This window comes from Homo sapiens, chromosome X (genome assembly GCF_000001405.40).
Source record: "Homo sapiens chromosome X, GRCh38.p14 Primary Assembly".
In the NCBI taxonomy this organism is placed as follows: domain Eukaryota; kingdom Metazoa; phylum Chordata; class Mammalia; order Primates; family Hominidae; genus Homo; species Homo sapiens.
This window is the reverse complement of record NC_000023.11, coordinates 131,203,458-131,215,556: the sequence shown is the minus strand read 5'-3', so window position 1 is coordinate 131,215,556 and position 12,099 is coordinate 131,203,458. Positions and strand designations below refer to the sequence as shown.

The 12,099-nt window shown below is 41.4% G+C and overlaps 1 pseudogene, besides 2 other annotated features; it reads right to left on the bottom strand.

Annotated features, from left to right (window-relative positions):
- Window positions 1,495–2,272: an enhancer, noted in NCBI's record as "OCT4-NANOG hESC enhancer chrX:130347259-130348036 (GRCh37/hg19 assembly coordinates)". NCBI's record gives its function as "activates a minimal SCP1, AML or CMV promoter by ChIP-STARR-seq in naive and primed H9 embryonic stem cells {active_cell/tissue: H9 hESC(naive and primed)}" and the evidence as "EXISTENCE:reporter gene assay evidence [ECO:0000049][PMID:30033119]".
- Window positions 2,273–3,052: an enhancer, noted in NCBI's record as "OCT4-NANOG hESC enhancer chrX:130346479-130347258 (GRCh37/hg19 assembly coordinates)". NCBI's record gives its function as "activates a minimal SCP1, AML or CMV promoter by ChIP-STARR-seq in naive H9 embryonic stem cells {active_cell/tissue: H9 hESC(naive)}" and the evidence as "EXISTENCE:reporter gene assay evidence [ECO:0000049][PMID:30033119]".
- OR11Q1P (olfactory receptor family 11 subfamily Q member 1 pseudogene) lies at window positions 10,513–11,461 on the bottom strand (annotated as a pseudogene).

The following is a 12,099-nucleotide window of genomic DNA, read 5'->3' as shown; positions in this document are numbered from 1 at the left end:
TATCTTGTCATCATCATTATATCAGCCTGAGCTAGTTGAAGGTCATTTCCGTATGGGCTTCGAGGGTAAGTAAGTAGGGTTTGGGAGAGCCCCTTACCCCAAGTCTCAGCTTAGTTGCTGACACATACCTATTATAGCACCCTAGACTATTTGTGTTATCCTATCTCCTGAGTAATTACAGTATATGGTAGTGGTTAAGGAAGCAGGCTCTGAAGTTAGAATTGGGCTTGAAACTTAATGATCATTCACTAATGTAGTCAAGTGAATTCTTACCTACGTGATAGAAATAATATCCACCTGCAAAGTTCACAGAGATTAAATGAAATAATATATATATAACACACTTAGCATGGTACCAGCCTATCTATTATTAATCAGTGGGAAGACCAGCCTGACTTACTGAAAAGTCAGGATATCTTTCAAAGTTATAAAGTAACACCTCTATTAATATTGACTCTTCTTATTCAGAAACTTCCTTCACAGAATAACATCAGAAACAATACTCAATTCCAGCCATACTCCAAGGGGAGGTTGTGGCTCACTCAAGTTTGCAAGTGTACTTCTGTTTCCTTGGGATTTGACCCTACACTGGTTATTGCTGAGCTGAAGATACTACAGACCTTTAGCTTCCTCCATTAAAAGAAACTAGCTAGGCTGTCTCATTTCTTCAGCTGCCACTGCTGCTAGTCAAGGACTGAGAGCTTCCATTAGTCTTCTATGTCTCTGTGTACTCAGGCTAACTTTAATCAAATGAAATTCCTACTTAATGGATTGATTAATTGAGATGTTATTGTTTGCTATTGTTACCTCCAAATATAAACAATGAATTGTATTATCAAGTAGATGGCTTAATGGCATCAATATTAATAAATAGAGAAATATAATCAATGTTTCACATGTAAATGAAACCTATATTACCCCTGTAATTTTGTTTAAGGTATTAGTTTACCAAGCATATCCTTTCTTTTTGTAGCTGGTGGAATGGTAAACTCCAAAGCCTAGTCTATAAATAAAGCAGTCCCCTGTCATGAGCTAGTGAAGTCCAAATTAATAAGGTTTACTTTATCTATACTAACCCTAACTACACTGATATATTACTTATCTAAAGGTCCCCTTCCTGGAAATCATAATTGTCTAGTACTCACAGAGCTAAAACTAATAAATAACCTTTAAAGACCTTAGGAGAGCCAAAAGAGATGATACAAAATCTCTGCCCCAAACCTCATCCAGAGTGCTTGTAGAAAAACCCCCTAAGGTTCACAATCCTACTTTATACACAATTGTAACTCAGCTTATTTTCTGAGCCTAGGATAGAAGAGAAAATGTCAATGGACTACTGGAGGCATAAACAATGTTATCAGTAAGTAAAAACTTTAGATATAAGACAGAATAGTTCTTAAAAAAAAAAAAAAAAAACAGCCTGCGGCCATTTACTGGATAATTAAACAGTCTGATACACCTCAAGATTGCTCCTAAAGACACTACACATCTCAGCCCGACCCAATGATTAATGTCCTTAAAGATGGCCTGGAATCAACCTGAAGAAGGCAAATTGTGTCAGGTTCACTTGGCATGAAAACACAGAGACCTATCCGTTTGAAACAATTAGTACTGCAAGGGACACTTCTATTATTTGGGACATGCACTTACAAACATCTCCTTCCTGACCAATGCCAAATAGATCTGGTGTTACAGTATCCGCCAACCAAGGCATGTCACACTGGGTTCTGCCAGCCTGGCTCAATGAACAGATAAAGGTTTTTGATGAGCACATTGTTTATATGCATATAAAATAGATACTAGTCAAATGTTTGTGAAACTTTTCTTTTCCCCTCCCTGAGGTGGTGCACACGTGAATACAAGTAGTTTGGTGGTGTCTGAGTTACTTCCAACTTTGAGTTAATGAGGTGGCTGTTTTGCTGTGTGTGAGTGTGGAGGCGGGGAGCGGCGGGAGTATTGTCTAGGATGAGCCCTGAAGCCCCAGGGAGTTTGTTACCGCTCCCTTTAGACAAAAAGTATGCTTGGGCCAGGCCATTTTGCCATAGCACCCTCCAGAAGAAATGTGTTCCAGCAAGAAAGTAAGATATTGGCAAATAAAAGTTCTTTTTCTGGGTTTCTAATGAAGTCAGGGAATTTCTTCTCACCTTGCTACCAATAATAAACATACTTCTGGGGGGTGGGGGGAGAAGCACAAAATAATGACCTCCCAAGGAGCTGTTATGCACTTGCTTTTAATAACTCGCCCTATGCCCATCTCCCAGTGAAGTTCTTTGTAGTCAAAATGCCTTCTTTTAACTAAGTCAGATGCGACCAATTAACACCATCAACTCAGTGAATGAGGTGCTAACTCCTTAATCCCAATAATTAGCATGCAAAGGAAGAAAGGAGAATGACAAAAGAAGCAGGTTATTGGCTATAGGAAAGGGAGTTACTTATGAACCTAGCTGCAAAGAGTGTATAGGTAGCTTTTGAGTAACTTCAATGTGTGTGTCTATGCAGTATGATTTGTGTATGCATTTTGTATGGAGACATTTACATGAAAGATATGTGTGTGTGTGTGTTTATACCTATGTGTTTCTGTGCATATATAAGGGTAATGTGTCTCTGTGTAAATAGGATATTTACACTGAGGCATTTCGTGGAGCAATAGAGTCCAATACACCTCGAGACAGCACTTAACAGCACTCTATCTCTCAGCCCAGCCCACAGTAATTAGTATGCATAAAGATGTCCTGGAATCATCCAGAAAAAGTTAAATTGTATCAAGTTCACTTGGTATTACAAGACAGAAAGCTATACATTTGAAACAATTACAGTGAAAAGTACTTGGCTACTTGAATGAATGAGGCTATTATTTGGTACTTGCACACATAAAGAGAATCACACTTTCCCTGCCAATTGCAAACAGATCAGGTGTGACAGTATCTGCCAACCATTCCACACTTAGTTCTGCCAGTGCTGGCGTGGGTCTGTGTGTCATCACTTTGCATCTGTGGGGTGTGTGTGTGTGTGTAAGATTGCTCAGGCTGAAGTGTGTTTATGCTTGTTGAAATGCCTGGCATTAAAGGGTGTACTTTTTTTGGTCTTTTTTTTTAATATACTGTAAGTTCTAGGGTACATGTGCACTACGTGCAGGTTTGTTACATATATATACATGTGCCATTTTGGTGTGCTGCACCCATTAACTCGTCATTTAACATTAGGTATATCTCCTAATGCTATCCCTTCCCCACCAACAACAGGCCCCGGTGTGTGATGTTCCCCTTCCTGTGTCCATGTGTTCTCATTGTTCAATTCCCACCTATGAGTGAGAACATGCGGTGTTTGGTTTTTTGTCCTTGCAATAGTTTGCTGAGAATGATGGTTTCCAGCTTCATCCATGTCCCTACAAAGGACATGAACTCATCATTTTTTATGGCTGCATAGTATTCCATGGTGTATACGTGCCACATTTTCTTAATCCAGTCTATCATTGTTGGACATTTGGGTTGGTTCCAAGTCTTTGCTATTGTGAATAGTGCCACAATAAACACACGTGTGCATGTGTCTTTATAGCAGCATGATTTATAGTCCTTTGGGTATATACCCAGTAATGGGATGGCTGGGTCAAATGGTATTGCTAGTTCTAGATCCCTGAGGAATCGCCATACTGACTTCCACAATGGTTGAACTAGTTTACAGTCCCACCAACAGTGTAAAAGTATTCCTGTTTCTCCACATCCTCTCCACAATGAACTCAAACAAATTTACAAGAAAAAAAACAAACAACCCCATCAACACGTGGGCGAAGGATATGAACAGACACTTCTCAAAAGAAGACATTTATGCAGCCAAAAGACACATGAAAAAATGCTCATCATCAGTGGCCATCAGAGAAATGCAAATCAAAACCACAATGAGATACCATCTCACACCAGTTAGAATGGCAATCATTAAAAAGTCAGGAAACAACAGGTGCAGGATGTACATTTTTAAAAAATAAATTTAATCTGGTAGGGCATGGTGGCTCATGCCTGTAATCCCAGCACTTTGGGAGGCCAAGGCAGGTGGATCATGAGGTCAGGAGTTTGAGACCAGCCTTGCCAACATGGTGAAACCCCGTCTCTACTAAAAATACAAAAAATTTACCCGGGCGTGGGGGCAGGTGACTATAATCCCAGCTATTTGGGAGGCTGAGGCAGGAGAATCACTTGAACCCAGGAGGCAGAGGTTGCAGTGAGATGAGACCATGCCACTGCACTCCAGCCTGGGCAACAGAGCGAGACTCCGTCTCAAAAAAAAAAAAAATGTAATCTAATGCAAAACACATGGTTTCTGCCTAACATCTTGCCTTGACCATCATTCTTCCTGGTTTCCTTTTTTAGTACTCTGTTTTGCCTTCTTCAACGGGGATCCCATGGGTCAAATTTGGCTTAGTTGGAGATTGCTCTGATTATCTGACCCTACCTACCTGTCAAACCCAGCCACTTCATTGCCCCAACCTGTAGTCTCAACTGCATCCTCCTGCCAAAGCTGCCACCTGTTTTTTGGTTCATTCTAGCCAGAACTACTTCCTTGAAACTGACCTAATGAGCCTGCTTAGGCTAAGTTAAGCACTAGTCCTGGCAGAGCTAGGCTCCATGCGGGCAGGAGCAAGGTGATAGGGTTGGACTGGAGGGATTTGCATGGTGTGCACCCAGTTCCCTTGGGGACAATAGGAACCCAGATGCATGAGAAGCTGCCTGAAGTGGGGACTGCTGATTTGGGGTAGGGGCGGGGGAAGCATACCCAAGGTTCCCAGGGACCTTGGTCCACAGGGCAAACCAAGTGGAGAAATGAAATGAGAGCCAAGCGTGGAGAGTGCTGGGTCATCCGTGAGAGGAAGGAAGAGGAGAGCAGAGTCAAGGGAAAATGTGGCGTGTCCTGGAATATCACCCTGAAGAGATCCAGGAAATCCCAATGCAGTCACAAATAACATACCAGACAATCATTTATTGAGGACCTACTATATGCCAAGCACTTTCCAGGCACTGGACATATCTATCTCAGCAAACATGACATCATCTCAGCCTTCAAGGAGCTTACTATGTGTTGGAAGAAACCAAGAAGCGAATTCTTGTTTATCGTTCTGTGTGAGAAGTGCCACAATAAATGTAAGAGAAGGCTTCCTGGAAAAATGAAGTAAGGTGGGTGAATAGTGGAGGGGGGAATGAACATTTAAAGGCCACCCACTTGGCTTCAGGATAAAGTCCAAATTCCTTGGCTGGGAATAGAAGGCCCTTCATGAATAGAAGCTCCAGCTTCTCAGGTCTCAGTTGTTACCACCATTGCCCACATGCTCTACATGCAGACACATTGGATTACTTGCAGTAGCTTAGCCATCTATACTCCCTTTCACTTCCTAGATATTGCAAACTATGATCGCTTTACATGGAATGTCTTCCCCAGGCTCTACCCATGAAATCTTACTTATTTATCTTGATTCAGCACAAATAACACCTACTCTGGGAAGTCTTCCCTTAACCTGACCACCACACCCTGAATAGGTTTAAATGCCTGGTTTAGTTTTCTTGGACTGCCATAACAAAGTACCACAAACTGAGTGGCTTCAACAACATAAGTTCATTTTCTTATAGTTCTGGAGGCTGGATGTCTAACATCAAGGCAGGGTTGGTTCCAGTAAGGAAGAATCTGTTCCATGCCTCTCTCCTAGCTTCTAGTGACTTGCTGGCAGTCTTTGGTGTCTCTTGGCTTCTATGTTCCCAGTCTCTTCCTGTTCACATGGCATTCTCCTTCTGTGCGTGTCTGTGTCTGTGTCCAAATTTCTGCTTTTATAAGGACACCAGTTGTATTGAATTACGGCCCACTCTAATGATGTCATTTTAACTTGATTGCCTCTGCAAAGACTCTACCTCCAAATAAGACAACATTTTGAGATACTAGGCATTAGGACTCCAACATATCTTTCTTTGGGAGACACAACTCAACCCATAACAGTGCCTCTTCCTAGTGCTTCCACAGGACCCTGTGCTTATAGCATTAATCAACCTAATTATAATTGTCTATTTAATTGCTTATCTCTCTCATCAGATTGCAAGCTCCATGGGGGGCAAGGATCATGATTTACTCATTGTTGGATCCTTAGGACTTGAAATAAAACCAAGAACATAGTAGGTGTTCAGTACATATTTGTCACAGTGTAAGTGTCACTCTGATCAGAAGACACACTCTTCACATGTGCTCTGGACCATGGGCCTTCCTGCCTTTGCAGGGAATACATCCATATCCCTGCATCTTCAACCTGTAGTCTCCACTGCATCCTCCTGCCAAAGCTGCCACCTGTTTTTTGGTTCATTCTAGCCAGAACTACTTCCTTGAAACTGACCTAATGAGCCTGCTTAGGCTAAGTTAAGCACTAGTCCTAGCAGAGCTAGGCTCCATGGGGGCAGGAGCAAGGTGACAGGGTTGGACTGGAGGGCTTTGCATGGTGTGCATCCAGTTCCCTTGGGGACAATAGGAACCCAGATGCATGAGAAGCTGCCTGAAGTGGGGACTGCTGATTTGGGGTAGGGGCGGGGGAAGCATACCCAAGGTTCCCAGGGACCTTGGTCCACAGGGCAAACCAAGTGGAGAAATGAAATGAGAGCCAAGCGTGGAGAGTGCCGGGTCTTTAAAGAAGACCCCTTTAATGAAGACTTCTCCCTCTTTAATGAATCCTTCTAACGGTATTCAAACATTTTCTTTTATTTACATTGTAAAACAAACATCTTCCTTTAAGCTTCTTGTTCCAGCTCTCATCAAATCTATTTTCTTCCAGAGCCAGGCTTCTCCAAAGAATTATCTACATATAGTGTCTTCTTCACCTTTTATTCATTTCTTTATCTCACTCCAATATGGCTTCTGCACTCATCACTCTACCAAAAGTGTCTTTACTGAGGTCATCACTGCCCTCTATGTTATCAGATACAATGAACCCGTCTTTGTCCTCAGCTTACTCCTCCCCTCAACAGTCTTCAGCATAGTTTACTAAGTTCTCCTTCTTAAAACATTCTCCTCTCCCTACCTGCATGAACCTATACACTCAGGGTTTTTCTCCTACCTCTCTATCACCTCCTCATTTGCTGGTTATTTTTCTTCTACATGATCTCAAAAAGAGGAATTCTCAGGGCTCCATTCTGGGTTCTCTTCTCCGTCTGGACTGTTCCTCTACATGATTTTACCCACTCTCATGCTTTTAAATGCCACCTACATGCTGATGGCATCTAAATTTGTATTTCTAGCCTAGATGTCTCTTCTGAGTTCCAGATCAGTATATTTAACTACCTACTTGACAGCCACTGCCATATTGGAATACTCTTGCACAAAGTTGATGTGATCATTACTTCTCTCCTCCAAATCTGGCCCTATCCCAGGAGTCTCCCATCCCTGTGAGTGGTGTAAGCATGTATTCAATTCACAAACTAGTAACCAGAAAGTTATTATTGATGCTTCCTTCTATAATCCATCACCAAACCTATCTAGAATTGATAGATAGATATCAATTCTATCTCTGAATATATCAACTTCAATTCATTTCTCTCCATCTCTGCCACTACTCTTAGTCCACACCAACATCATCTCTCACCGGTAACATTGTAATAGTGTCCTAATTGATTTCCAAACATCTATTAGCCCTCCAGTCCCATCAACAGTTGTTCTCCATGTAGCAATCTGAGTGATCTTAAAACATAAAATGGATCATGTCACTCGACTAAAAATTGTTCAAGAATTCCAATCTCACAAAGAAATCTAGTGAAGCAATGCATTATCTGATTCCTGCCTACCTTCCCAGTCCCATCTATGATACTCTCTCCCTTGATCACTGCATTCTAACCATGCTAGCCTTTTCTCTGTTCCCAATCACTCTAAGAACTTTTCCACAGCAGACCTTGTTGCTAGCTAGTCCTGCCACTGAAATCCTCTGCTACCCCCCTTCACCTTATAACCTATCTTTGCCTGGCTTATTTCTGTTTATCTTTCAGTTCTCTGTTCAAATGTCATAACTTCAGATAAACCTTATCTGATATTCCTAACCCAATCCAAATTAGATAACCTTGTTATATACCTTCCTATACATTTCCTTCATAACATTTATCACAGTGTTAAATTATTGAGGGATTGTCAGGCTATAGGTGGTACTTGATGACAAGGAAATAACAATAGTTTAGTGAGGGAGGAAGGCACATAAACAATTGAGCCATTCACTCAAAAAATATTCATTGAGTGGCTCCCACATCCCAAGCATTCTCCTAGGCACTGTAGACACTGGCAAACAACCAGATAAAATAATAATTTATTAAACTATATCTACAATGAATCCCGTAGAGACACAGAAAAGCATCATTTGCTTCAGTGTATTGGATAGGAGAAAACGGTCAAGCAAGTCCTGCTGGAGAGGATGATGATGGATCTGAGTATTAAAAGATGAGGGGCATTAGCCAGGTGAAATATAAATATGGGCAGAATTTTCCAGGCAAAGGGCATGAATAAGGATGCACAGGGTACAATGTGGCAAATTGTGAGTTGCAGCCTGATGGGAGATGAGACTGCAGAAAGGGACAAGAACAGAGTAATAGAAGGCCTTCAATTTCATGCTGAGAATCTTGGATTTTATCCTGTGAAGATGGTCATCGAACACTGACTGTGTGCACAGGAATTATGCTGGGTGCTTGAGGATACAGCTAGAAACAACTTTCTGCCTCTGTCCTTTAAGGGTTTACAATCTAATGAGAAGACAGGACACATATATAAAAAGTGCAGAGCAGTGCATCCTACATGTCAGATGAAGAGAAATAAAGCACTTCTCAGGGGGAGAAATGACATAAGCAGCATACTCATGGAGGGTTCAAAGAGAAGGTAGGACTGGAGTTGAATCTTAAAGGACAAAATAGGGTGAGTTTAGCTCAACGAGGGACATTCTGAGTATTTCTCTGTTTACATGTTCTACTAAAAGATTTATTAGGTCTTTACATAAGGTTGTTTCCCATTAATTATTATAGTTACTCTTAAAATGAAGGTAAATAACAATATTGGGATTTGACATGCAGAGATTCTCTTTAGAAATGATTCTTTCAAGATCTACATATTATATAAACAATGTAAAAATATAAATTCCGAGCAACTGGAACACTAAGGCCACCAGATTTTACCATTTTTGAGGTTGGAAGCTGTATCTATGTTGTTCACTATTCTCTTCCTAGCATCTAGCACAATGACTGGATAATATTAGGCTCTCAATAAATATTTTTGCTTGAATAAATTAATAAGTGCATTATCTGCTTTTCAGAGCAGACTCTTTTTGCTTTTACTCTCCCTTGGAGTGTAGCTTGAATATATCAGTTGATAATGTTAGGTAGCTGGTAACAGGAAAATAAGAAACAGAAGCACAAGTGAAGCCAGCGAGGTAAACTCAGGTACACAGCAGGAAAAGGACCTGGGAGGGGAACAAAAATAAATAGATGAAAATGCAGCAGGTAGCTGTAAATGCTAGAAAAAAAATGCAATCTCGAAAAAAGTGCCGTGAGGCAATCCACATGTCTAACAAATTGCTATAAGTGCTTAATGCACATTTCTCCAAAGCTAGCCTACTGGTGGGTTTCCATATGTTCTATTAGATTCAATTTTTATCTTTTTAATCTCAGGTCAAGTAGAAGTCCAAAATTATTATCATAGCCTCATAGCCAGAACTGTAGTCTAGGCAGTGAAGGAAATAAACATGGACTATTTATTTAGGGAGCTCTCCTCTCTTATGAGGGTAACACAGTTATCACTCTTCCTCCACCTCCAGAACCTCCAGGTGTGATTTTTTTAAAAAATGAAACTGAACACAATTAAAGTTTACCTGCCAATCCCTACTTCCAAGATTGCACCTTTGGGGGATTGTGTGGAGCAATTATTTATTATCTATCCCAGAATGGTTTACCTCCCATAAACTCAAAAGTACTTTTCCCCTCTTGCAATATAAATATGCCCAAGAAAAACTAGATTATTTCAAGGAGACTAGTAACAACTCTTCCCCTAAAATCAGAATATTTGGCAATTATCCAATATTTGAGGTTATAAAAATTATAATCTATCTTGTGTTTTTCCTTTTCTTCTCTTTTTTTTTTCTTCTTTCTCTTTTTTTTTTTTTTTCTGATGGAGTTTTGCTCCTGTTGCCCAAGCTGGAGTTCAATGGCATGATCTCGGCTCACTGCAGTCTCCACCTCCTGGGTTCAAGCTATTCTCCTGCCTCAGCCTCCCGAGTAGCTGCGATTACACGTGCGTGCCACCACGCCCGACTAATTTTTTGTATTTTTAGTAGAAACGGGGTTTCACCATGTTAGCCAGGCTGGTCTTGAACTCCTGACCTCAGGTGATCTGCCTGCCTCAGCCTCCCAAAGCACTGGAATTACAGGCATGAGCCACCACGCCCCACCTATCCTGTGTTTTTCTAATCTGATTGGAAATTTCTTGAGGACAAAAACATTGCCTTGACCTCCAGATTGCCCTAATTTTTGTCAGTTGTATGAACCTCATCATTGTAGGATCAAATCCTCAGCTTCCTCACAGCCTCTTTAACATCTTTGTGTTTGAGGCTGTTGATAAGGGGATTACACATGGGAGCAGCAATGGTGTAGAGCAAGGAGAAGGTTTTGTTGAGAGCTGGCACTTGGCCAGCCAAGGGCACAGCATAGACCAGGATCAAGATCCCATAGAACAAGATCACAACCACTAGCAAGTACAGAATGCCTTCTGCCTACTAGTCATGGAAGGTATATGCAACACCATTGAAAAAATCCTCCAGTAGGAGGTTAGGGTTAGTCCAAAGGAAGCTGGGTCAACAGAGCTGTTAGACTCATGCAGACTAGGTTGACCAGATAGAGATCTGAGCAGGAGAGCTTATGCAGAGGTTTCAAGTCACAGAATAAATGGTTAACCTCATCGCCACCGTAGAAGGTCAAATTTGATACCATAGCAGCCTGGAATGCAGCTTACACTGTTCATGAGCCACTTACTATCCCCACGCACATGGTTCCATGCATTAGTTTTTAATAATGCATGGGCTGATGGATAGCCAGATACCCATCATATAACATCATTGCCAGTAAATAACATTCAGTGCTGCCCAGGACCAAAAATAAGTAGGCTTGAATGATACAACCCACCATAGAGATCATTCTGTTTTCCGTCAACAGGTCCACCAGCATCCTGGGCACAATGTTGGTTGTATAACAGATCTCCAGGCATGAGAGGTTCACCAAAAAGAACAACATTGGAGTGTGAGGTCTCCGTCGAGTGCTCACCAGTACCATGAGGGGAAGATTCCCAGAAAAGATGGCTACATAGGTAACCCCAAACACCAGGAAGGACAAGGGACTCAATTCTTTGAGGTCTCCAAACCCCAGTATGATAAACTCGGTCACCACCGTAGTGGTATTTTCTGGCCCCACAGAAGTCAATAGTTCCTGATGAAATGTCAGCTTCTCCATACCAATATGTCAGCTCACTCTACCACTTAGATTTTCCACATAGTCTAGTTCTATCAGTGATTAGAACACTGTGCTGATGAGGGCATTTCTTGCGGATTGGTCCTCATCATAGCCAGTTAAATTATTCCTCAGAAAACTGTTTCTAGAAGTCAGCTGAACCTGTCATCTGGTTAGGGTATGGAATAGGGATGAGGAGACTAAATGAGAGAAGGAGTGGCTCAGTGAAAAATCTATCCTCATCCCTAAAGTAGCCATCTAGATTACAATTGTACTGGTAACAAGTTGAGGCTCCCAAATTCACAATCAAAGGTGACATGTAGAGCCCATGTTTGGAATCTTCTATGCCATTTTGGACAGAAGATATTCCCACAGAAAATCCTTACTAAATGCTGACAATTCGAAGAAGAGGCCGGCCAGATAGCAAATTATGTTTGGCCTTTTTGATCGGAGCATGAAATGAGAGCTGATACACTAGGACTGAAGCAGAGAATCATTTCATTGGTGTTACTGGAGCATCCATGCTTGTTTGGTAGTTACATGCCTGAGGAAGCAGAACTGGTCTCTAGAGAGAAAATAGATTCTGGAAAACCAGGTATATATCCTGAAACAA